This window comes from Homo sapiens, chromosome 5 (genome assembly GCF_000001405.40).
Source record: "Homo sapiens chromosome 5, GRCh38.p14 Primary Assembly".
NCBI classification, from domain to species: Eukaryota; Metazoa; Chordata; class Mammalia; order Primates; family Hominidae; genus Homo; species Homo sapiens.
The window spans coordinates 80709563-80737532 of NC_000005.10; the positions used below are offsets into that span (position 1 = coordinate 80709563).

Below are 27970 nucleotides of genomic sequence, written 5' to 3' on the forward strand. Positions count from 1 at the left end.
AGTGAGCTGAGATCACGTGAGATCGCGCCACTGCACTCCAGCCTGGGCGACAGAGTGAAACTCCGTCTCAAAAAAAGAAAAAAAGAGTTTTTAACAACTTTTGTTAATTTTTCTTATGTTTAATAATAATTATAGATAAGCTTTTCTTTACCTTTGGTTTTCTCATATTTGAGGACTGCAATTTAAATGATCTTCAGGAACTTCTTTTCTTCTTGTATTTTGTGAAATGAAATGCTTTTAAAGGCATTTCAGGCATCAGAGGTAGATGAGGTGGTATTTTGGGCAGTGGCAGTTGTTTCTGAAATCACACATTAGTAGCTTTTCCTATCCTTTATCTTCTGTTCCCCTGGAGTGAAAAAGGTGCTGTTGGAGGCAAAATTTGTGGCTACTGAAAATATTCCTTAATGCTGGTAGCTTCTTGACTTCGTGCCTTTCTTACCCAATTACATCTATTCTAAAGCTGTCCCACTTCTTTTCCTTTGAGCACATGACTACTGCTATCTATCTCCTATTCTTAACCAGCATTAATTACACTGTGTATTAGATACTGTTTTAAAGGCTTTATGTTTGTTGACCGACTTAATCCTCATAAACACCCTTGTGAGGTTGCTGCTGTTATTTTATTACGGGTTTTATAGATGAGGAGACTGAGGCTCAGAGATGTTAAGTAGCTTGTCTAGGTTATACAATTACTAAGTGGCAAAACTGGAAGTTGATACAGACTTCCTGGCTCTAAAGCACACTATGTCATACAGCCTCTCAGGAAAAACACAGAAGGGAGCAGCTATTCCCTTCCTTCACCTTTACTTTTGACTGCAAAAGGGGTAATATTTTATAGCACAATTAAAATTATTTTGGTTAATATTTTATGAAATTTCTTTCCCTTATAATGCATATTACAGTCTGAATTTCTCTCTGGTGGTAAAGTTTCTGACAAAGCATCTGTGCTTAAAACAAAGCAGCTTTATTTATGAAGGTATTTCTTTACAAACCACAGCCCTGGTATCCAGCAGAAAGCATGGGTTGTCTTTACATGTGGTTATTCTTCTGGGAAAGCATCTTAGAGGAGGTGAGCCTTGACCTGCTTGTTAACTGAGAATATGTGCACAGGTCTGGGGTATAGTATGTGTAGATTCGTGGTAAAAAGACTTGGGATTGTGAGGGGCTGAAAGATTACGAAAGGATAGGGGTTTTAAAATATTATTACTAAGGAGTTCTGTCCTTAGAAAAGATTTCTAGGATCAAGAACCAAGAGCTGGACGATGATGACAACAGGCAGAAATGAGTGGCTTCTCTCAGCCCTTGACTTCTCTGCCATTCCCTCCCCCTTCGAGTGTTCCCCTTTCCTTTGGTTTCCAAGTTGCACGCTGATCCTCTTAGTGTTTTTAACCTCATTGCAGACAGAAGTACTTTCCCATCAGGTTTGCCAAGACAGACTAGAATTTTTTTGTTAGAATTTTACCTTTAAAAACAAAACCAAAACCAACCATTACAAAAGAAGCAAAGGTATAATCAAAAGTGTAGAAAAAACTAGAAAAAAAGTTTTAGAACAACACGAGTTTACCTAGTATAGACTTTCTGCCTTATGGTAATACCTCCTGTCTCTCTTAGCCTTTTGAACAGCCCAGCTCTCATTGTGCTAGCCTTGAGTCTGAGGCCCCATGGAGTTCCCATAGTGGGGAAATTCTCAATCCTCCCTTGCTCCCAAACAGGCCTCTCCTTTGCGGATAGGTCCTGGTGTGTTTCTTCACCTCAGGCCTCTTTAAGCCTGAAGAAGCGTGGGCCCTACATCTGCTTTTAGTTTTCAGTCCCTTGTGGTAAGTTGGCTAAGGCCCTTTCGCCTCTGTTGGTAAGGAGGGGTTTTTTGGGCCTCCAGAACCTCCCACAGGTGCTGTGTCTTCCTGTTGGCTCATTCCGAGGAGGACTCACCAGCTGACTGTCAAACTGGGTCTTCCTCACCTTGGTTCACTGTTGGCCATGTGGACTTCAGTAGGGGCTGCCATCCTTCTAAGAAGCTATGCGATTGTGTCTATTTCCTTCTCTGGACAGCAGGAGACCCCTTTTTGAAGACAGCACATTTTCTTTTTTTCTTCTTTTTTTTCTTTTTTTTGACATGGTGTCTCATTCTGTTGCCCAGGCTGGAGTACAATGGTGTCATCTCGGCTCACTGCAACCTCCGCCTCCTGGGTTCAAGCGATTCTCCTGCCTTAGCCCCCTGAGTGGCTGGGACTACAGGCCTGCACCACCATACCCAGCTATTTTTGTATTTTTAGTAGAGACAGGGTTTCACCATGTGGGCCAGGCTCGTGTTGAACTCCTGACCTCAAGTGATCCACCTGTCTCGGCCTCCCACAGTGCTGGGATTACAGGTGTGAGCCACCACGCCCGGCCAGCACTACACTTTCTAATGAGTTTTTATTGAAAAAAATTTTAGTTGAAAATGAAGCTGTTGGCTCGTAAGTGAAAAGCTTGAAGGCAGGCTGGAATCAGGCATGGCTGGAATTGGGCATGGCTGGTTGTAGGGGCTCTGCTCTTTCCTCTCCTCCTGTGATGGCTGCCTCCTGGTGTTCCACAAGGTGGCAGGATGCTCCAGTGCTCTGTCCTGACTCCCAGCCTCCAGGGTTCTAGTCCAGGGAAGAGGACCAGCATCTCCTTCTGGGAGCTCCTGTATAAATCCTGTAATCCATTTTTTCTCTTCTTTCTCTTTTCTAATATGCCATTTTATTTTTTAATAAGTTGTATATTTTAGTTCAAAAAATGGAAAGTATTTTAAAAAGATTATGAGGTAAAGAGTTTCTTCCATCCTGTCCCTTTTACTATTATAAAAACACCCTTCATTGTCCTGTTTTAATGGTTTTTATTCGAATTTTATTTTTCCTGGTAATAAGATTTGATCTCATACTTTCTTTTTATTTGTATTCACCTAATATATACCTCTAGGCAGTTGTTGTTTTTCAGCCATCTTTTTAATTTGTAACCTTTCTGAATTACTTTGTTTTGGATTGCACTCCTATTTGTAGCATAGAATTTTGGGGTTTTTTTCCCCTCTGTGATCCAATCTGAATTTAATTTTCTTTTAATAGGTGAATTTAGCCCTTTAATATGTCAGATATATTTGATATTAGTTTATACTATTTTGTGTTATATTTTCTATTTTTATATCTTTTAAATAATCTTTCACGATGTGATCTGTTTTCTTTGCATCTTTTTTTTTTGTTGGTTTTGTCCTGGTGGTTGGTTTTAGAATTATAATTTCAAATAATGCCCTTAGTCTTCTAAGAAAGTGGTGGTTGTTCCCTACTGTGAGCACTGATAAAATTAATGAGTTTCATAGTAATTCTAATATGGAGATATTAAAGCCAGGTTACCTTGTCTGTCCTACTCAGTCAAGAACCCTGTTTCATTCTGTCTTCAGAGGAGAGAATGAATTACTCGGCTTGGAACTCATCAGTGCTATTATTACCAATGAGTTCACTGTCAGAGGGGGCCTTGTAAGTTTTCCCAGAGGATACTGTCCACCTTTAACAAGGCTCTTTTTGTCTATGAGTTTCTAAAGTCGGTATAGATCATGCAATTGGTAAGCTGACATTTGTTTGTTCACAGTTGAACATTAGTTCAGAGTCTCTGTTGGTGGTCTGTTATTTGATGCCAGAGAGTCACCAGTTTTATTTCCAAGCAGACATTAAAAGATATTATTGGTTCTGAAGTTCCCTTGTTTTAATGTGGGCTCAACACTTGCTGAGAGAGCATTTAGTTTTTCAAAAGCAATATGGTAGGCAACAGAGAGGCATGTTACATGTGAAAAGGATTTCTTTTTTTTAAAATTAGAAGCTTTAATTTAACCGTCTAGCTTGGCATGCCCTGTGTAATGACTGAGAGACCGAGATGACTGTCTTGTTGTGAGTCCCACCAACAAGGACAGAAGGGAGGTTGCCACCTTGGGAGGAGCACATCTTCTGTTCATGCTCCTCTCCATTCAGGAGGCTTCAGCCCCACAGCACAAATAGCCTCTGTAGCGGTCAAGGGAATGTGGTTTTATAATTTTTTAGATCTGGGTCAATTATATAATCATAGATAACTTAATTTTTTTGATGCAGTGGTATTTACTGTCCACCTCTAATAAAGCAGGTGAATCATAGACTACCATTGGATACATGTCTTTGGAGCAGATTTCCATCCATTTTTACTCCAGTCCTATGGTGGCTACCGGTATTGTTCTTGTCGCCTGCTATTCTTAAGTCTGCAGTTTGCCTGTGACTCACCCCAGGAAACCTGTTGAAAATGCTCGCTCTCCTCTAACTTCCTGCTGAATTCAGATTTAGCACCTTTCGGGTGGGAATCTGTACTTCTTTGCAGGTGACTCTGATGCCGGTGTCCCACAGACTACAGTTTGAGGAAATCAAGACTGACAGTTCTGCAAGGTTTATTACCCTTTAATTTTTCAAAAAATACCTTCAGCAACAGAGAGGCATGTTACATATGAAAAGGTTAAAGTAGAAATTTTCCTAAAATCTATGTGACAGAATTCTGGTAGGATGCTAGGCATGTGTGCAGAATTTCAAATAGACTTTTTTTTTTTTTTTTTTTTTTTGAGATGGAGTCTCACTCTGTCACCCAGGCTAGAGTGTGGTGGTGCAATCTTGGCTCACTGTAACCTCCGCCTCCCGGGTTCAAGCGATTCTCCTGCCTCAGCCTCCCGAGTAGCTAGGATTATAGGTGCCCACCATCACACTCGGCTCATTTTTGTATTTTTAGTAGAGACAGGGTTTCACCATGTTGGCCAGGTAGGTCTGGAACTCCTGACCTCAGGTGATCCGCCCTCCTGAGCCTCCCAAAGTGCTGAGATTACAGGTATGAGCCACCACGTCTGGCCCAAATAGACTTTTGTTTCAGAGATACAGTGATTTGAATTTATCATAACGTTCTTTAATTAAGAAATCCAGGAAAATAGAGATAGGAGATTTTATAACTTTAACCAGTTTGAAAAAATATTTATGTGAAGATGGTTTAATATACAGATTGCAGAACGATGAATTTAACATTCTTGTAAAGCTTCCAGGAAAGCCTCAAGGATAAGTGACAAGTCCATTTTTATCAAACTTAATGGGTTTCTAAATCCTTATCTGCTTATCAAACAAAATTTTAATTAGAACTGTAATTGAGTAACCAGCTGCCTCTTGTGTTCACTCTAGGAACTTGTCTAAAAACATTGTGGAGCTCATGTAAGGTCATTCGTTTTTGAGTTGCTAAATAAACTTTATTGCAGACTTCTAAAAATCCAGGTATTGAGGAAGTCTACAGGAAGATAAAAATTGATAAGAACTTTGCAGTAGTTAGTCCGATACTCTCTCTCTCTAGTGGATTAAGGTAGAAAAATCCTTCTTCAGCACCACAGATGGGAGAATATCCTCCCTCTTAGGTTTCTTCCTGAATCAGCTTATGCCTGCCTAGGCTTGTAGTAGAACAGATAAAGCCTTTGGACCTAGCTACTCTTGGTTTGAATATCTGTTAATCTGTTATCTCTTCATTACTTTGGACATTGTACTTAATGTCTCAAGTTCAATTTACTCATTTTTAAAATGGGAATAATGCCGCCCACAGCAAGGAGAGCCGTAGTTCTGGAACTTGTACTCATTCATTCCTTTATTCAGCACTACTTTATAGGTTGAGTACCTGTTTTATACTAGGCACTGTTCCAGGCATTGAATACAGCAGAAATAACACTGACAAAAGTTCCCATCCTCATGGATCCTAGTGAGCAGAGCCATTTCACACCAGGTGATCGGGGAAAGTTTCACTGAGATGATGACTTGAATGGAGACCTGAGGAAGGTGAGGGAGTCAGATCACCATAAAAAATTACTTTTTAACATTATTATTATTTTTCTTTACTATTTTCTGCTTAATCCTACTAGAAAGTAAGCTCTATGACAGTGGTGGGTGGGGGGTGGTATTTGTTTTGTTAGAGAATTTTAGATGTGCTCTGTTGTATTAGTTTGTTCTTGCACTGCTATAAAGAACTACCTGAGACTGGGTAATTTATAAAGAAAAGAGGTTTAATTGGTTCAGGGTTCCATAGGCTGCACAGGAAGCATGGCTGGGGAGGCCTCAGGAAACTTACAGTCGTGGCAGAAGGTGAAGGGGAAGCAGGCAAGTCCTACATGGCTGGAGCAGGAGGAAGAGAGAGGGGGAGGTGCCATACACTTTCAAACAACCAGATCTCATGAGAACTCACTCACTATCACAAGAACAGCAAGGGGGAAGTCCACTCCCATGATCCAGTCACCTCCCACCAGGTCCCTGCTCCAGCACTGGGGATTACAATTTGATACGAGATTTGGGCAGGGACACAAATTCCAACCATATCATATATGGAAGCACTTTTCCTGATCACAGAAATGGGGAGCTATTGAAGGAGTCAGAGGGCAAGTGCAATGTCTTCATCTTTAGTGCTCTCTCTGGCAGCAGTGTGGTACAAGGGCTTGAGGGGTAACGTGCAGTAGGCACTCCATAAATGTCTGCTAAGCATTTTTAAAAGTGATCATTCTGCCATTCACTATGAGCCATAAGAGTAGCTGGTAGAAATGCCTGTGAATGTTTAAAAGCATTATATAGACTCTATTTCAGAATTGTGTTGACTAATAAAAAATGCTAGTTTTCCCTACCCCACACCTATCTTTCAACTGCTTTATATTTATTTCTTTATTAGATAGAAAATTCCTCAGTAAACTTTTATTTAGAGTAATTCCTCTTTATGATTTTTTTGTTCTAAAGGTCGATTCTTAAAAGAAAACTTGTTGAAGTGCTCTAAATGGAAGTCTTTTTTTTTATTTCTCTCCTGTGTCTTTTATGATAGTATCTGACAACTATCTTTTTTTTGTTTTTGCAGAGATTGGGTTTTGCTCTGTTGCCAGGCTTGTCTCAAACTCCTGGCCTCAAGCGATCCTCCTGCCACAGCCTCCTGAGTAGCTGTGATTACGGGTGTGAGCCACTGTGCCTAACACCTTTTTTGAGAAACTTATATTTTTTTACATATTTATTCTTGATTCATAATATTTATACATATTTATGGGGTACATGTGATATTTTCATATGTGTATACAATGTATAATTATAAAATCAGGTGTTTAGGATACCTGTCACCTCAGACACAACATTTCTTTATGTCAGACATTTAATATCTTCTAGCTATTTTGAAATATATGATAAACTATTGATAACTGTAGTCCTACCCTACTGTGCTATCAAACACTAGAACTTATTCCTTCTATCTAACTGTATGCTTGTACCCATTAACCAGCTTCTCATTACCTCCCTCCCCAAAGCTCTGGTAACCATTATTCTACCTCTATGAGATCAACTTTTTTAGCTCCCACATTTGAGTGAGAACATGTGATATTCGTCTTTTGGTACCTGGCTTATTTTACCTAACATAATGACCTCAGTTCCATCCATGTTACTGCAAAGGACAGGGTTTCATTTTTTGGGGGGGGCTGAATAGTATTCCATTGTGTGTATATTCCACATTTTCATTATCTGTTCATCCATTGATGGACACTTAGGCTGAGTCCATAACTTGGCTGTTGAGAATAGTGCTGCAGTAAATGTAAGAATGCAGATATCTTTTTGACATACTGAGTTTGTTTCCTTTGAATGTATACCCAGTAGTGAGATTGCTGGATCATGTAATAGTTCTATTTTTATTATAAAAAATTCTTTTAAGAGAGGGTGTCTTGCCCTGTCACCCAGGCTGGAATGCGATGGCATAATCATAGCTCGTTGCAGCCTGGAACTGCTTGGTTCAAGAGATCCTTCCCACCTCAGCCGCCTGAGTAGCTGGGACTACAAGTGCACTCCACCATGCCCAGCTAATTTATATTATTTTTTTTAGAGACAGGCTATGTTGCCTAGGCTGGTCTCAAACTCCTGGCCTCAAGCTTTAGCTTCCCAAGTAGTTGGGTCTATAGGTGTGAGCCATCCTGCCCAGCTAGTAGGTCTATTTTAAGTTTTTTAAGGAACCTCCATACTATTTTCTATAAGGGCTGTCTCAGTTTACATTCCCACCAACAGTTATGTAAGAGTTCACGCCTCTCTGTGTCCTGACCAACACTTTTTGTCTTTGTGACAATAGCCATTCTAACAGGAATGAGGTAAATATGTCATTGTGGTTTTGATTTGTATTTTCCTGATGATTAATGAGAGCATTTTTTTTTTCATATATTGGCCATTCTTTCAGGGCCTTTGCCCATTTTTAAATTTGGTTATTTGTGTTTTTGGTATTGGGTTGTTTGAGTTTCCTATATCAAAATACTTCTAAATTCAGCGTGATGATGGAACATTGGTAGTTGCTTATGAGATAAAACAGACTCTTGGATTAAAGTAAAAAGTAAAAGTTTCAGAAGTAATTTAATTTTCGGAGAAGCCAGTAAAATTGGAATCATTTGTGTTTTATTTGAAAAAATTAAAATATGGTACAAATATAAGAATATAATACAGATATAGAAGAAGGCTGCTGAAACCACCATCTAGTCCAGGATATAGAGTTTTGGCAGTCACTCTAGAAGCTCTCTCTGCCTCCTCACTGTCATAGCCCTCAGAGGAATCATGATCCTGACTTTGTCATTGTTATCACCTTCTTAATTTCCTTTGCAGTTTTGTCACCCAAGTATGTATCCTTATGGTTTAATTTTGCCAGTTTATTTTTTAAATGTCTTCAAAATTTTTAAAATTTATATTTTTAGAGACAAAGGTCTTGCTATGTTGCGCAGGTGAGTTGGGAACTCCTGGGCTCAAGTGATCCCCCTTCTCAGCTCCCTGAGTAGCTGGGACTACAGGTGCATACCACTGTGTCTGACTTTTTATAAAAATACGTTTTAAACCTCTTTATCTACAGGTTCCCTCTCCATCTCTTTTTATTCCTATCCTCACCTTTGGTTTTTTTTTTTTTTTTTTGAAGAAACTCAGTTGTTTTTCTTGTGGAGTTTTCCAAAGTCTGGATTTTGCTGATTACATATCCATAGAGTTTAAGATATTCCTCTGTATTTTCTGTAAATTGGTAGTTGAATTGAGAGGCTTAATAAAATTCAGGTTTTTTTTTTTTCATAGAAGAGGAAGAGAACTTTGTAGATTCTATTTTTTCATTGGGAGGCATATAATTATCTCTCTTTTTGTGAATTGAGTAGCCATTGATACTCAGTAGTGATGAACAAGTCTTGCTTTTTAAAGTATCATTATGAACCCAAGGGCCTAATGTATTTTGGCTTCATTGCAGTTGTTATTCTTCCCAGTGCTCAAAATGGCCCATTATTGGGCAAAGAGAGTCTCTCCAAGTTGACCTCTGTGCCATTTTGCCATGATGCTAGTAATCTTTAGTAGCTTTTTTGTGTAACAAGTTAGTCTAGGATCATCTTAAACATTTTCAGTCCCAGACCTGGAATTAGTCATTTCTCCAGTAATCCTTCCCTAGTTTCTTTTAGTAGGAAATGGTATTTTTTTTTTTTTTTCTGAGACGGAGTCTTACTCTGTCGCCAGGCTGGAGTACAGTGGTGCGATCTCGGCTCAGTGCAACCCCCGCCTCCCAGGTTCAAGCGATTCTCCTGCCTCAGCCGCCTGAATAGCTGGGACTACAGGCGCGTGCCACCACACCCAGCTAATTTTTATATTTTTAGTAGAGATGGGGTTTCATCGTGTTGGCCAGGAAGGTCTCAATCTCTTGACCTCGTGATCCACCCACCTCGGCCTCCCAAAGTGCTGGGATTACAGGCATGAGCCACTGTACCCGGCCAGGAAATGGTATTTCTAAACCACATTCTGTGCAACTAGGGAGGCTATTTATTGGATAGGTCAAACTATATTAAGAACTCATTAAAAAATACTTCTGATTCAAATTCAGGGCTAAAGAGTTTTTATTTAACTTTTTCAGTCTGACATCTATATCTCCTTTTCCCCACCATGTCGACAATCCTGGTTCTTATGTAAGTACTCTGATTTTATCATTCAAATATCAGGTATTTAATTTGCTTTATCCCACATTACTGAATCTATGTTATTAAAATTATATATTATAAAATGCCATTGCATTTAAAGGTCTTACGTTTCTTCCCCATTTATTTCACAGTTGTAATATATCTGCATCATCAGAGCATATAGCCATTAGGTACTATACCTTCTTTCTTATAGCCTCCATTGAGAGTCTTAGTTCTCCAAACAAATATGTATTACATGCTCACCACCAATTCTTATATCCATGTCTTTCTAGTCATTTTGGTTGTCTGAAATTTATTCTGTAGTATGGTTGTTCTTACACCTTAGTGTGCATCAGAATTACCTGGCAGGCTTGTTAAAGCGCCGAGTACTGGGCCTCACTGGCAGGTTCTCTGGCTCAGTACATGTGGGATGGGGCCTGAGAATCTGTGTTTCTAACAAGTCCCCAGGTGGTGGTGATGCTACTGGTCTGGTGACCATACTTTGGGTATAGCTCTCTGTGGCCTTTATACATGGAAGATTGGCTAAGCTTAAAATTCCTGGCTTACAGTTTATTTCTTTGAGTATCTTAAATACATTACTCTATTGTCTGTAGGGTAAAACATTGCGGTTAAAGTTTGGCAACTCTGTTTTTCTTTCTTTTATAAACAACTTGTCATTTTGGCTGGAAATAATTTTACTAGATTACTTACTGTGATGGTCATTATGGGTTGATTTCCCCAGGTATGTGATGTGTTTTTTAAATATACAGTGTCAAGTGATTTTTCTGTTTCTTTGCTTTGCCCTCTTTGCCAACTTTGTACCTTGGGGGCACCTTTTATACACGTTTTAGGTCTTCTTTGCCAACCTTTTGTATTTGTTACTTTCTTTCAATCTTTCAAATCTCCTCTTTCATTTCTTTTTGACTTTGAAAAAAATTTCCCCCTTTCATTTCCTGCTTCTTATCTTTATTATCTGTAGTATTTATTCAGTTGTGTGCCTTCTAGACTATCGTTCATTCTGAGAAGTTTTCCTTTTGTCTCTAATTCCTGAGTTCTGCCCGTTGATTTCTGAGTTTTTCTAAATCCAATTTGTTTTCTTAATAATTTTTTTAACTTGTTAGGGTTTTCATGTTTTATGGAGATATCTAACATGATTCTGTTGTCTGTAGAGATGTTATTATGTTTTTTCTTTTTTTTTCTTATCATAACTTTGGACAGGATTTGAGTTGGGTCCTTTTCTATTACTCATTTTTATGCAAATTCATTTTCCCAAACTTTTAGAAGAGGCATGGGTTCAAAATAGCTTTTCTGACTTCACAGTTCTGGTAGTGTTTTTTAACTCCAAGTATTATTTATAAACAGTTCATTTTTAAGTGTACAGTTTACACAACTGTAAGTGTAAGTGGTAGTTTTACACAATTTTGTAACCACTATCACAGTCGAGATGTGGAAGAATACTTTTACCCTAAAACTTTCCATGTGCTTTTGCAGTTGGTCCCCTCCCTTCACATCTGGCCCTAGGCAATTATTAATTTTCCACCAGTATATTTTACCTTTTACAGAATTTCAAATACAGGATATCTTACAATATATATTAAAATTTTTTGGCTTGATTTCTTTCACAAAATATGATTTTTTGAGGTTCATTTTGCTGCATATTGTCAAAGTATTTGAAAATGTGACAGCTCATTTTCTCCTGGCTCTGTTCTGTAGTACTTTTGTCTTTTTAACAATTACCCTGTTATCCTTTTCTCCCCATTTTAGATTCTGTTCATAGGAGTTTTTCCTCAGGGTAAGATTTGTCCTAAAAAAGTGCTTTGCATCACTGGTTTTGTGAATTCATAGGGCCTAGAGTTCTCAAGCCCCTTCAGGCTTTACTGTGGACTCCTTGTAGTCACTATTATCAAATATACAAACTGCACTCCCAATTTCAGCTCCTCAAAATGTCCTACTGTGCTTTCCAGTGAGTACCTCGTTGCTGTTTTGTGTTGTTTCTGTTTTCCGATTGTTAGAGTTCTGTTGCTTTTGTCTGCTTCTTCTCACATGGTTGCTGATAGCATTTGTATCTTATTGTTCATCCCACCTGCTTGCATTTTGGGGTTCTTAATATCTTGAGATGCAGTTATAGTGTAGTACATGTTATCTGTGGGTTTTAGTTTGGTTATTAAAGTCTCTTTTTATGGCAGGATTTAGGGAGACTGAAAAACTATGCTTGAATCTAACAAAAAACAACAATTATTTCAATAAAATATTATATCAAGGAAAATAGCAAAAAATTACAAATGTGTGTTACATTGATAAAATGATACATTTATTTCTACTTTTCATAATATTGAGGGAGGGAGTGTTCTGCTTTTGTGACGAGGTATAGCCATTTGTGTTTCTGTGTTTTCTGTATCTTTTACATATGTCTACCACATTACTGTCTGTTGTCTTAGATTGTAAACTAAGAAACAGTGATTGTTGTGTGGCATATGCCCATGAGAATTTGTTTAACTGTTTTTGTGAAGAAAAAAAATATATAAACTATAGATTTTCTGTCATAAATCCTTCTTTCTGAATTTTAACCTAATTGTAAAGCAAAATAGGTAATAAAGTTTCACTATTGTTTATTTATTACAAGGCATTGTAATTGAACTTTTAAATCAACTCATACGATCTCCTTGCTCAGGAAGGAAAATCATAAAAATAGAAAAAAGCTTGCTTTATTTTGGTGCTGGGGATGGTTTCAAGTCTTTTTTCAGTTTTATGTAGAGACCAAGAAAGTGTTCTGCATAGGGAGCCAAAGAAAAAAATATTGAGAAACTTTCTAAAGTATCTTAACTCAGTTGTTTATAGTATAGCTTTACTTTACAGATAACTTTTGATGTTCTTAGATCATTAGATATACCTACATCAATATACATAAGATAAGCTTCCAAAGGAAATACTCTTTGCTTTGGGAATACTCTTTCCTATCATCTACTAATTTTCATTATAGCAGCAGTCTTTTATTTGTATAGGTCAGTGGTTCTTTAACTTTAATGTGCAGTAGAGTCCCCTGATGCTGGGCCGGGCCCCACCCAACACCTGTTCCTGTTTCAGATAAAGACCAGAGAGAGGTATGTGTACGTATCTAAGAGTGAGCACAACCAAAGCTGTATAAAACCTTCATGGAGGAAATTACAGAACATTACTGTTGGATATAATAGACATGAATAGAAGAATATACCAGCTTTGATAATGTGATACCTCTATTTAAGATGTTATTTCTCTCTAAATTAATTCATTACATATCAAATTAAAATACCAATAAGGGCTGGGCGCAATGGCTCACGCCCATAATCCCAGCACTTTGGGAGGCCGAGGTGGGCAGATCGCTTGAGTCCAGGAGTTTGACACCAGCCTGGGCAACATGGCGAAACCCTGTATCTACTAAAAATACAAAAAAATTAGCTGGGCGTGGTAATGCCTATCTGTAGTCCTAGCTACTTGGGGCTGATGAAGGAGGATTGCTTCAGCCTGGGAGGTCGATGATGCTGCAATGAGCCCTGGTCCAGCCTAGGCGACGGAGTGAAACTCTGTCTAAAAATAAATAAATAAATAAATAAATAAATAAATAAATAAAGTAATCCCAGTAAGTTTCTTGTGAAGACCGAAGGTAAGTGAACCTAAAATTCACAAAGAAAATCAAAGGGCCAGGAGTAGCCAAGACAATCTTGAAGAGCAAGGTAGGGACCTTGCCACTTTAGATATAGATGCCAAGCCCTAGAAATTAAGAGACTGTGGTCGTGATACAGAGATAGACAAAAAGACCAGTGGAACAGCATGGAGAATCCAAAAACATATATAGAAATGCAATATGCAGTGAAAGTAACATTATAAATCATCAGGGACGTATGGAATGCTAATTGCTGCTTTGATCATTAATTATATGGAAAATGAAATTGTATTTATAACTTCACACTATCCACAAAGATAAATTCTGGTGAATAAATTCAGAAAGCAGATCTTAAATTTATTAGAAAATATAAGAAATAATAAAATACTTAGCTGCTGTTAAAATGTAAAAAGCACATGTATCTTCATGTATAAATCTTAGAAATAGTGTAACATTGAGGATAAAATCAATTTGTATGGTTATGATAAAGTACCACTCATACAAAATGAAAAGCATGAAATGATACAGTTTTTTATAAAACATGAAAACATGCATGGTAATATACATCACATTCAAGATAATGTTTGCTTCTTTTATTAATTTTTTTTTTTAATTTGAGACGATGTTTCACTCTTGCTCAGGCTGGAGTGCAGTGGTGTGATCACAGCTCATTGCAGCCTTGACTCCCTGGGCTCAAGTGATCCTCCCACCTCAGCCTTCCAAGTAGCTGGGACTACAGGCATGTGCTACCGTGCCTGGCTAATTTTTGTATTTTTTGTAGAGAGAGCCATGTTGCCCAGGCTGGTCTTAAACTCCTGAGCTCAGGCAGTCCTCCTGCCTCGGCCTCCCAAAGTGCTGGGATTACAGGCATTAAGCCACCGTGCCCGGCCAGCGTTTCCTTCTGGAAATCGTAGAGGGATGTGATTAGTGAGGGATATGTGCAGGCTACAACTGTAACTAAAGTTTTATATTTTTAAATAAAAATGTTTTAAAGCAACATGTGACAAAACATTAACACCAAATGAATATCAAACAACAAAGAAATAGTTGAAGAAATTGTGGCATCTATATACTATGAAATATTTTTCAGCCATTAAAAAGAAGGAGTTGTAGCTAGGTCATTTTTATGGAGGGACTTTCAAGAATTATTAAGTGAAGAGAACAAGACACAGAAATATGTTTATAAAATCATCTCAGTTTTATAATGTAGTAATATATAATGAGCATATATTATATATGCTTGTGTATGACCAAAATATGAACATGAAAAAATATGGAAAGATTCATTCTAGGCTGTTAACATGAGAGATAACAGTCATGGGAGTGAGATGATAAAGAAAGAAGAGAAGGAGGACAGAATAGGGAGTCAAAAAACATAGAAAAAGAAAATGCATTACCCAGCATGCATGCTATGATTTTGTTTATGTACTTAGGCAAATTTTTATACATATTTTTAGGAGGACTGTAGAATCACTTTAAAGAGTGAGAGTTAACCTAATTTACTATATTTGACTGGAGACTGTGATAGAAACAGATTTAGCAGAAAGTCCCTCAAAGAAAGAGTTACTCAGTGCTGTATTCTGTTGCTAGATTATTTAAACAAATAACGTAATCAAATCAAAATGATGCTTTTCAGTTTTTCTCTCTTCATATTTAGTAACATAATGGACCCTAATTTCAATGAGTTTTTCTTTTTAAATAATGATAGATATAAAATACTCACAATGTGCTAGGTGATATAAAATAGCAGTTAATAAAAAGTACTTGGCCAGGCGCAGTGGCTCACGCCTGTAATCCCAGCACTTTGGGAGGCCGAGGTGGGCGGATCACAATGTCAGGAGATCGAGACCATCCTGGCTAACACGGTGAAACCCCCTCTCTACTAAAAATACAAAAAATTAGCTGGGCGTGATGGCGGGCACCTGTAGCTTCAGCTACTCGGGAGGCTGAGGCAGGAGAATGATGTGAACCCAGGAGGTGGAGCTTGCAGTGAGCTGAGATTGCTGCCACTGCACTCCAGCCTGGGCAACAGAGCGAGACTCCATCTCAAAAAAAAAAAAAAAAAAAGATAATAAAAAAATTAAAAAGTACTCATTTTAATATTTTATGAAATAGAGCATTTTGGCAGAGAAACTTTAGCTCTTTCTTTCTCTCTCTTTCTTCAACTTGGGAAAGAATAAGGAATAAATCTTTATCTTTTTTTTTTCCTCTTCTGGCCAAGACCTAAATACCAGCATTTCATGATAATGGATAAGTTATCTTTGAAATTTTCCTTTTTTCTTTCAGTGTGCAGGATGACAGAATTCGAGTCGAAAGGATGGATAACATTTATTTTGAATACAGCCATGCTTTCCAGGCAGTTACAGAGTTTTATGCAAAAGATACAGTTGACATCAAAGGTAAATATTTTCCCTGTATGTCCTCAAGTTGAACTGATTTGAAATTTGGATAAAGGTATTAGTATGATTCTCAATTTAATGATGACTAGGTAGTTATTATAAATATGTGGGAGAAGAAGAGCTCACTGTTGTTGTGCTCATCAGAAACACTATTGTACTGCAGTCCCAGCTACTGGTTAGACTGAGGTAGGGGAGGATCGCCTGAGCCCAGGAGTTCGAGGCAGCAATGAGCTATTATCATGCCATTGCAGTCCAGCCGGGGCAACAAAGCGAGATCCTGTCTGTTAAAAAACAAAAAGAACCATTGCAGCCTCTTTTGAAATTATGACCAGCTAGTAAGTTGATGGTTTTGACATATTCATCAGAGTGGAAGGAGTTTTGACCATCTTTCCTTTTTGCTTATCTTTAAAGATGGCTCATTAGTATCTTTGTATTTTATAGACTGTTTGGATGATAAATATTCTGATGAAGACTAGCATTTTGAAAGGTTGGTTGCCAAAATTAAAACACCAGAATCTAGTGACAGGTCGAAATATTTTAGGTAATCATTATTTGTCTAATTCACATGTCCACAATCAGGCATTAATGTTTACTTTCATTTGTACCTCACATTCCTGCCAGTCCAGCTTATGTTAGGGTCCATTTTGTGGATGGTGAGGTGAATAGACATTTTCCCTCTTGGCATAAACTTGGCTTCACTCTAATCTTCATCCTACTCCATATGGAGGAAATTTATCTCTGTCACATGCTAGAGAGTGTTCATCATCAGCTCCCCATCACTGCTCCATTTAAGCATCAGTGTCTAGTTAGCATTTCCTTGCATCTAGGCATCAGTGTCTTGTTAGCATGTCTCTTTAATTTCATGATGCCTTGGTCAAATAAAGTGTCTGAGCGTGTATCCCACTTCTTTTTATTTTTTTCTGTAAGGTCTCACTCTGTCACCCAGGCCGGAGTACAGTGGTGCAATCTTAGCCCACTGCAACCTCTGTCTCTTGGACTCAAGCAGTCCTCCCACGTCAGCCTCCCAAGTAGCTGAGACTACAGGCGTGCGCCACCACACCCAGCTAATTTTTGTATTTTTTTTGTAGAGGTGGGGTTTTGCCATGTTGCCTAGGCTGGTCTTGAACTCCTGGGCTCAAACGATCCTCCCACCTCAGTCTGCCAAAGTTGCTGGGATTACAGGCATGAGCCACTGCGCCCAGCCAAGTGTATCCCACTTCTAACACCAGTGTTCAGTATTACCGAGAGGTCATCTTATGTTCAACTAAAGACCTGATAAATCTTAAGACTACCATGACCTATCCGTGGTACCAGATTTACTTAAAAGATATGGGCCAGAAAACACACCTTACAAGCAGAGCATGTGTTGCTCTTAGTGGGATAGTCCTCACAGCAGACTTTGTGGCAGTGCCCGGGAGAGTGTATGAAGGAAGGAGACTCACATCAAGTGAGCGTAAGCGCCACCCTGGCTTAGAAGCTCCAGGCCCTTGAGGAGCCTGTATTTCTTGCTGCAGTCTCTACAAAAGACACGCCAGTTGACAAAAGTCAACGCACTAAGGGAAGGCCAAAACTCTGTAGTCAGGTATTTATAATTCTTCTCAGTCCAGATGTAATTTACTGATATTTGGTCATTTTTACCACAGGCAGTGCTACTTCTAACACATTGATACACCATCTTTGTCATGTTTTCTGGGGAAGAAAGCTAGAAAGTTAAAAGAAAATCAATTTCTCAGTGGAACGGAAAGGTGTTGTTAGCACTTCATTTACACTCTGGTTTTATAAACACCTATAGTTAAAATTAATAAGATATTTTACTGATTTGTAGAGAACATCTTGTAATATATGTTTTTTTACTTCTAAAAGTAATTAATGCTTATTGCAAGAAAGTCAAACAGTGTAGTCGTATATAAGGAAAAAAGTAAAGTGCCTGCCCTCAAACTTGTCCTCTGCCCTTGCAGCTTATATGTCGGAGGGGTTATCATTAACAATTTGGCATATATCCTTGTGTAAAACTCCACACATACACACATAAACATACACATATAGTTCTCTGTATTTGTTTAACATAACTGGGATTTATTCGTTCAGCTAATTTTTTGAATGCCTATTATATGCCAGGCATTGGGCATACAATAAGGAATAAAACAGACAAAAATTCCTGCTCTTTTGGAGTTTACATTCTAATGGTGAGAGATGTACAATAAAGTAAACTAGTGTGTTAGAAGGTGATAAGTGCTATGAAAAAAATAAGGCAGGGGAGTGGGTTGAACTTTTAAATAGGATGGTAAAGGAAGGCCTCACTGAGAAACAGCACTTGAACGAAGATTTGAATAGAGACTGAAGGAGTTAAGGAAAAGAGCCATATAGACATATGAAGGAACAGTATTTCAAGCAGAGACAACAGTAAGTACAAAATATCTTAAGTAGGAGAGTGCTTGGCATGTTTAAGGAATAGCAAGTAGTCTGTGTGCTGGAACAGAGTAACTGATGGGGAGAACATTAGGTGAGCTCAGAAATAAAGAGGAGATGGCAGGCAGTATAGGGTCACTTTAAGGGCTTTGACCTCTACTCTTAATGAGTTGGGGGATGTTGGAGGACTTTTGAGCAAAATAGTCTAATGATCTGATATACATTTTAAAAAGAATTCCTCTGGCTGCTCTGTTAAGAATACCCTGTAGGGTGCAAGGATGAAGCAGTGAGACCAGATGGAAAGCTGTTGCAGTGTTTGTGGTGAGACATGAAATTGATCAGACAACTTTTTTCCCTCACTTAGCAACATGTTATAGATGGCCTTCCATATCAGTGCAGATAATTGGAAGTCATTCCATTTAGTTGGTACATAATAACCAGGATTTACCCAACTTTATTTAAGTACTACGCTGTTAATGTTTATTTAGGTGGTCTCTAGTTTTTTTTTAATACTCCAAAAGATGTTTTAAGTCACCTTCTGGTACACACATCCTTGACATGCAGTTTGGAGTATTTCTAGACAAAGGGGATGGGCATTTTACATTTTGAAAAAACAACCTGTTCTTCAAAAAAGGTTCATTCCACCATCAGAAAAATGCCCTTTTTTTCCATGCCCTGGGTATTAGTAATGATTTACATTTTTCCAAAGGTCAATTTTAGGAGATATTGTCCAAATTATTATTTTGGTAACCATTAAGTTTTACTTAAAATTTGTGTTTAATAATGCTAACAAGTTAATGGTTCTGTTTATTACATTTTTTAATTTGATTAATTTAAAAGAATTTTTATAACAAGTTAATATATTCTGTTTTCTAGGTTCTCAAATTATTTCTGGCATTGTTAACTTAGAGAAGCCTGTGATTTGCTCTTTGGCTGCCATCATAAAATACCTCAAAGAATTCAACTTGGAAAAGATGCTCTCCAAACCTGAGTAAGTGATTCCTCCAAAATTAAAAAAAGGGGGAGCTTATATTATGAACATTTCTTAAATTGAATTTGGTAGTACTATACTTAGAGAAGCTTGCCTGCTATTGATAGAATACTAGGGTGCAAGGATGAGCTGTTTGGTATTGTTGCTGAAGAATATTAAAAATATATTGGCTGGGCACGGTGGCTCATGCCTGTAATCCCAGCACTTTGGGAGGCCGAGGCGGGCAGATCATGAGGTCAGGAGATCGAGACCATCCTGGCTAACATGGTGAAACCCCGTCTCTACTAAAAATACAAAAAATTAGCCGGGCGTGGTGGTGGGCGCCTGTAGTCCCAGCTACTAGGGAGGCTGAGACAGGAGAATGGCGTGAACCCAGGGAGGTGGAGCCTGCAGTCAGCCCAGATCCCACCACTGCACTCCAGCCTGGGCGACAGCGAGACTCCGTCCCAAAAAAAAAAAAAAAAATGTGTGTGTGTGTGTGTGTGTGTGTGTGTGTATATATATATATATATATAAAGAATTCTGTCAAATAAATTGTATTCATGATAGCTATTTGATATATTATAGTTTTGACTACAAAACTGTGCTTTATACTAACTGGACCCAGAAATAGTATTAAAAAGCATTCATAAAAATTTACCACCTTTCTTATTCTTGGTTTCAGTTCTTATTTCATAGACCATGAAGTTAGAGATAAAAGGGCCAGCTGCTAACACAGCTTTTTACAAGAGTGATTAACTGTGGATTTTGGAAATTTAAAAGCTCACAATTGACATTCTAGGAAAATACTAGTTTGATAACCATTGGAATAGAAAAAAGTAGTAGGGTACTTTCCTTGTCTTTTTATATTCCGCCTTCACCAGCCCCTTGTCTTTGGGTCTGTCAAGAATCACCCTCCATTATATTGATCCAGGGTGCATCAGCTCTGTCCCATTCTGCACAAGTGGGAGGGGAGATAGGTGCTATCTCAGCAAAATGACAGAATAGAAATTAACTAGGAAACAAGGAGGTGGTGCTGGTTCAAGGTTGCTGGAGAGAGTCAAAGAAAGGCAGGTTCCTTGGGGTTCTTTTTGTAATGTCTTTGATGTGCGTTCTCCCGTGTGGTACTAGAACAGAGTATCATTTCTCTGGAAGCAACTTTATCCTATTTAAAAGCAATCTAAATGCCCATCAGGGATCCTTGTGCTATATTCATGCAATGTAATGTTATATAGCAGTGAAAATGAATGAACTAGAGCTATTAATATATGACCAATGCTTAAAATTTCATGAACAGTATATTAAGCCAAAAATAAAGTTGCTGAAGGCCACGTAGTACATACCATTATATGAAGTTAGAAACATGTGAAATCGTACTCTGTACTGCTTAAGAATATATATGTAGTTAGAGAATAAGTGAAGACATGCAGGGGAGTGATAGAAAATTCAGAAGCAGGGTTTCTTCCAGGGGGAAGAAGGGAAAGTAGTAAAGGTTGGGGATGGACGTGGCATAGTGGAGTTCTAACTGATGTTTCATTTCTGAATGTGGGTATTGTATTAATCTATACATTTTTTAGTGTGGCCAAAATGTTTTATTTTAAAAAGTGTCAGCCCGGCATTATACCCTCATTGGATTCTACTTTAAGCTCCAAAAATAAACTTATTAAAGAGATCAATCTGTATGGTTGGTTGTGTTGGGGCTTTGTAAAAAAAGGGGTGACAAGATACCTACCAGTTTGACTTGTTCATGATAGGGACCCTGTAAGTGAGGTACAATTAGTGATAAATAGCTTGCCCATTAAGACTTGTGTTTGTGTTCCTGTATCACCAAGCAAAGAAGTATTAATGTTGGGATAAGGAAACTAACTTAGAAATCAGGCCCTGATGTGTTTAGAAGCAAATGAATTTGGACCTGGAAAGATGTGTCCTCCTCATATATATATATATATATTTTTTTTTTTTTCTTTTTTTTTTTTTAGATGGAGTCTTGTTCTGTTGCCCAGGCTGGAGTATAGTGGTGCGATCTCAGCTCACTGCAACTTCCGCCTCCTGGGTTCAAGCAATTCTCCTGCCTCCACCTCCCAAGTAGCTGGGATTACAGGTGCACGCCACCGCGCCCAGCTAATTTTTTGTATTTTTAGTAGAGACAGGGTTTCACCATGTTGGCCAGGCTGGTCTTAAACTCCTGGCCTCAAGTGATCTGCCCACTTGGCCTCCCAAAGTGCTGGGATTACAGGTGTGAGCCACCGTGTCCGGCCTGTCTTCCTCATATTTAATTCGAAATAAGAATAATACCAAACAATAAAACAAGATGTCTATATATACTGAAATTAAAATAGATTCTTTTCAAATTACCTGAAGTAACCTCTTGATAAACTGAAGCTGAACTTTTTGCATCTCATAATTGATGGTGGAGGATGGTCAGGAAACTGGCTCTGCTAGTGACTTAGTGTATCATCTAATCTACCTGTTGGGTACTTCCATGGAGCCAAAGCCAAAAGACATAAAGTGCTCTGCTTTGTATATATTCCCAGCATCCAGCATAAGCCCAGCACCTAGTAGGCTTTTATTATATATTATTATATATAGTATTAATATAGGATTAATGAAAGAAGGAAGGAATTCTTCATTCTGTGAGGGTATATTTCATTGGAAATTGCCAAAAGGTCATTGGAAACCAAGATTAATAAAGATAGTGATCAAACTGGTACTCTAGTTTTGCTTAAAAACGAAATGTGGTGTTCATGAGTGGCATGTAATTTGAAGATCATTCTAAAAGAGTAATTCTGTAGTGCTTATATTTTGCAAAAATAATGTTGCTTCTTAAGGTGATTACTTTGGAAAAATGAATATTCTCCTTGTAGATGAAAAATTCAGTTGCATTATTTTATAAACATACTTTATGCTGCTGAAGTTTTGGACTTTTATTTACAAAGCTATGTTATCAAGGGGAAAATAAATTTCACTTGAGTTGACTTGTTTAGTAAATGCTTTCACAAACGTTGCTGCATATTTCATAAAAATCATGATATACGTTTATTTAAAGGTCCTTGTGCCATTAGAATAGAATTTTAGATAGTTTGAGAAAATATACCATTTCAGAAATTATTCTTAAGGATGATTTAAGTGAAGTTTTGTTAAGACACACTTGAGGTTCTAAAGTTATTTTGAGAGTTTAAGTTTGTTTCAAAGAAAAATAGTGTAACAAAATAAATAGAATGTGAGGGATATTATTTATTATAACAGAATTAACCTGATGCCTAAATTTATGAAATTCAGAGGAATCCACTTTTTGTTGTTAGAAATGAATGCTTTTGTCATTTTGGATGGTTTTTATTAAGATTGGAGTGGTCACAACTTCAAAAAGATATTGGAAATTTTAGGAAAGAGTGAGAAAATCCACCCAAGATAAACTGTAAAACCTTTTTTTTAAAAGAAAACTTCTTATGATAACAGAATGATAACATGTGGTGATTACCTTTACTTACTAGTGAAAGAAATAGCTTAATATATAAGCTACTCTCATGACATCTAATGGCTAGCAGCCAGGGATGCTGCTAAACATCCTAAAATGCACAGGATATTTCCCTAAAAAACACATTATTTGGCTCCAAATTTCAACACTCCAAAACCAAACAAATATATTACAGGAAAAGAAACTACAGACCAGTATCTTTTGATTATAGGCACAAAAATCCTCAATGAAATATAAGTACATGGAATCAGGAATATAAAAACGATTGTACTCCATGACTATTGGATTTATTTCGGGTATACTGGCTTGGTTTAAAAATCTGGAAGCCAATCAATGTAATCTACCTTATCAAAAACTACATGATAGTCTCAATAGACAGGAAAAACTCTGCATAAGATTCAACACCCCTTCATGATAAAAAACGCTCAAAAAACTACAACTAACGTGGAACTTTCTTGACCTGACAAAGGACATTTATGAAAACCTCACAGACATTAAACCTGTCTGTTGTTGTTAAGATGCAGTATTGCTCAGATCAGTCTCTAAGTTCAGTGCAATTTGTATCAAATCCCAGCTGGCTTCCTTGGAGAAATTGACAAGCTGATCCTAAAATTCATAGGATTCATATCTCTGTTTCAAAACTTACTACAAAGTGAGTAATCAAGACAGTGTGGAGGGTGGGATTAAAAAAAGACAGTGTGGAATTGGCATAAGCACAGACATGTGATCAATGTGATAGAATTCAGAGTCTGGAAATAAACTTATGGTCATTTGATTACTGACAGGGGTGTTAAGACAATTCAGTGGAGAAAGAATAGATTTTTTTCAAACAAATGGTGCCAAGATAACTGTCTGTGCAAGAGAATGAAGTTGGACCCTTACTTCATGTCATATTTGAGTTTGGAAGATAAAATGGACCAAAGACCTGATATGAGTTAACACTGTTATACTCTTAGAAGAAAACATAGGTGTAAATCTTTGTAACCTTGAATGAGGCAATGATTTCTTAACTATGACATCAAAAACACAAGTGAGAAAAGCAAAAATAGATACATTGGACTTCATCAAAGTAAAAGCTTTTATTCTTCAAAGAACACCATCAAGAAAGTGAAAAGACAATCCACTGAATAGAAGAATTTTTGTAAATCATATATCCAGTAAGGGACTTGTATCTAGAATATATATATATATATAAACTCTTACAAGTCAATGGTAAAAAGATAACTCAGAAAATGGACAAATGATCCATACAGGTTTTTCTCCAAAGGATATATGCAAACAACCAAGAAGCACGTGAAAATATGCTCAACATCATTAAGCATCAGGTAAATTCAAATCAATGCCACAGTTAGATAACACTTCATACTCACTAGGATGGCTATAACTAGGAAAAAAAAAGGTGTTGGCTGGGATGCAGACAACTTGAAATCCTCATACATTGCCAATAGGACTATAAAATGGTACAGCCATTTTGGAAAACAGTCTGGTAGTACCTCATGACATTCACTGTGTGATCCAGCAATTCCACTAGATGTTACTTAAGACAAGGAAAATATGATGTCCACATAAAAACTTATACAAATGTTCATAAGAGCATTAGTCACAATAGCCAAAAAGTAGAAACAACTCTAATGTCCATCAACTGAAGAATGGATACCTAAAATGTGTTATATGCATACAATAGAAGATTTTTCAACCATAAAAAGGAATGAAGTACAGATACATGTTGCAACATGATGAACCTTGAAAATATTATGGTAGTTGAAAGACATCAGTCACAAAAAGTCTCGTTTTGTCTGATTCCATTTATATGAAATGTCCAGAATAGGCAAATCCATAGAGAGAAAGTAGATTAGTGGTTGCCTAGGGCTCTTGGGTTGTTGGGGGGAATGGAGAGTGATTGCTAATGAGTATAGAGTTTCTTTTTGGAGTGATAGTATCTAGAATTACATGGTGGTGATGGTTGGCCAATTTTAATATACTAAATACCACTTAATTGCACACTCCAAGTGGGTGAATTGCATAGTGTGTGAATTATATCAATAAAGTTGATAGACACATACACACTTATCTTTTAAATGTCAGTAGTGCTGAGATTGAAAAATCTTTGTCTCTGTCTATTTTAATTCTGTTCTTAAGGCAATATCCTTCTGAGGCTTATAACCAATGCCTCATGTATTTTGAGGTATTTCTACTCTGGTTGGAGAGTGTTCCAAGCCCTTTGTGAACTCTGGTCACTGTTCACTACTATTTTCTGGTAGTTATTTCCATGGTCCCACAGAGGTCCCTAAACGCCTTTGAGGACTGGTACTTGGCCAAGAGTTGAGGTGACCCTTCAGCAGATCTCTGGAGCTGTATGTGCAGCTCTGTTATCTGGCATTCTGTCTCACAAATTCTAGTTTCCCTGCGCCCACCAAAGAGGCAGTCATGTTGTTTACCTCATTTGTTTTTCCTCTCTCAGGGTCACGGTTCTGCACCAAGTGTTGTCCAATACCTGAGAAGTTTTCCCCCTCATGTGTTTTGTCCAGTTTTCTTATTGTTTATGATTGGAGGACATTTCTCATGCAGTTACTTTTTTATGAATGAAAGCAGAGGTCAGGTGGCACAATTGAACACTGCACAGAAAGAAGAGAAGAGGGAGGCTGGAGAAAAACATTCTATGAAGTTTAAAACATGATTACCGGCCAGGTGTGGTGGCTTATGCCTGTAATCTCAGCACTTTGGGAGGGTGAGGTGGGCAGATCACCTGAGGTCAGGAATTCGAGACCAGCCTTGCCAACATGGCGAAACCCCGTCTCTACTGAAAATACAAAAATTAGCCGGGCATGGTGGCAGGTGCCTGTAATCCTAGCTACTTGAGAGGCTGAGGCAGGAGAATGGCATGAACCTAGGAGGCGGAGGTTCCAGTGAGCCAAGATCATGCCACTGCACTCCAGCCTCGGTGACAGTGAGACTTCATCTCAAAAAAAAAAAAAAAAAAAAAAAGTTGAGCACAGTGGCTCAACGCCTGTAATCCCAGCGCTTTGGGAGGTCAAGGCCTTCGGATTGCCTGAGATCAGGAGTCCGAGACCAGCCTGGGTAACACGATGAAACCCCATCTCTACTAAAATACAAAAAAAGCAGCCACACTGGTGGCGGGCACCTGTAGTCCCAGCCACTCACTCTGGAGGCTGAGGCAGGAGAATTGCTTGAACCCAGGAGGTGGAGGTTGCAGTGAGCCGACATCGTACCACTGCACTCAAGCCTGGGCGACAGAGCGAGACTCCATCTCCAAAAAACAAAACCAAAAAAGAACAGAAGAGCGAGATGTATGAAGTTAGAAAAACTGTCCTAAAAATTGCCCGTGTTCTAAAACTTCAGGAAAATTAATCTTCACTTAAAAATTAGCAATGGGAAAAGAACCAAATTCAAATTTCTTACAAAATTATTATGAGAAAAAAGAGAATAAGGAGTAGGATGTCATTACAGATAATGTATACATGCCAGAAAATCATGGTCACAGATTAAATAAAAATGACAATCTGGCTGGGCGCAGTGGCTCACGCCTGTAATCCCAACACTTGTGGGAGGCTGAGGTGGGCAGATCACCTGAGGTCAGGAGTTCAAGACCAGCCTGGCCAACATGGTGAAATTCCATCTTTCCAAAAATACAAAAAATTAGCTGGGCATGATGGCGGGTGCCTGTAATCCCAGCTACTCAGGAGGCTGAGGCGGGAGAATTGCTTGAAACTGGGAGGCGGAGGTTGCAGTGAGCCGAGATCGCGCCATTGCACTCCAACCTGGGTGACTGAGCGAGACTCCGTCCCTCACCCACCCACCCCCCTAAAAAAGAAAAACTACTGTTTTAAAATGAGCTAAAAGACACTAAGAAAATGATACTAGATGTGAAAGAACATAACTAAGAAGTATGAAAGATTGGAAATGAGGTGATAGGATTTAAGACAGAAGTATAAAGAAAAAGATCAATTTAGGACTGAAGCGTAAACTTGAAAGAACATAATAGCGAATAAATGTAATACATATAGTTTTAGAGTAGAATTTAAAAAGAGGGATGTGCAAAAAATTAACATAGCAGGCCTAATCACAAAGCTTTCCTTAGAAAGGCCTTCCTGCAAGCTTGGCCCTTGACTGGAGTCTGGGACCTTGAATTTCGGGAGAGTTTTCACCATTTCGTGATGAGAGTGGCTCACTGTGCCTTAACTGTTTGTGCACACAGTGTGGTTTATGCTGATCACCTACCTTCTTGGAGCTGGAATTTTGGTACATGGTAGGGAGATGGTGCCTATGGGACCAGTCCGGCATAGAAACCATGGGTGCTGAGTCTCTAATGAGTTCCCTGGTGGACAGCATTTCACACGTGTTGTTACAATTCATTGCTGGGGAAATTTAAGTGCATCCTGTGTGACTCCGCCTGGAGAGGATTCTTGGATGCCCGGTTCCCCCTGGACTTTGCCTCAGGCACCTTTTCCTTTGCCTGATTTTGCTTTGCATTCTTTCACTGTAGTAAGTCATAGCTGTTAGTATTACTCTATGTCGAGTCCTGTGTATATACCATGAGTCATTGAACCTGGCAGTGGTCTTGTAGACTCAACATACACCTTTCCCATTATTTGCCTTTCTAATGGGCTTATTGGCAGGATTTAGAAATGCAAAGTTAGTCATGTTGTTTAATTACAGATCAATTATAAGTGAATCTACAACCCTGAAGTTTTGTAATATAGTACAATTTATATTTTATAAATCAAATTAACTGCCAAAAAGTTAGACAAGTGATGAATTTATGAACTCTGAAAGCTGTACACACAGAAATGTTTTCAGCAATAGATTTCATGTGTTATATGGTAGTTTTTGTCATTGTTTCCATTTTAAAATGATATTTAAATAAGTTCTGTACCCTTGTTGCCTTTGTCTGTCTTTTTTTTAAGCAGGGTTAGAGTAATATGGAGTTGATTTCTCTGTCCAGCTTTTGACAAAGATGTTTCCCTCCCACTATTGAGGGAAAAAAAGCATCTATTGTATTTTTGGTGTCTGAAATATTGATAAAACTATTTTCCCATGTTATATATAAGATTTCTATGCAGGTTCACAAAGCATGAATTCTAGCCAGATGTTG

The 27970-nt window shown here is 38.1% G+C and overlaps 1 protein-coding gene across 1 annotated transcript in view; it reads left to right on the forward strand.

Moving 5' to 3' along the window:
- The window catches only part of MSH3 (mutS homolog 3), a 222164-nt gene that overhangs the window by 54911 nt on the left and 139283 nt on the right, over positions 1–27970 (forward strand). Inside the window, exons 9-10 of the mRNA NM_002439.5 lie at positions 15891–16003; positions 19289–19403. Coding sequence (NP_002430.3) covers positions 15891–16003; positions 19289–19403 — 228 coding nt within the window. The remainder of the gene's footprint in view (positions 1–15890; positions 16004–19288; positions 19404–27970) is intronic.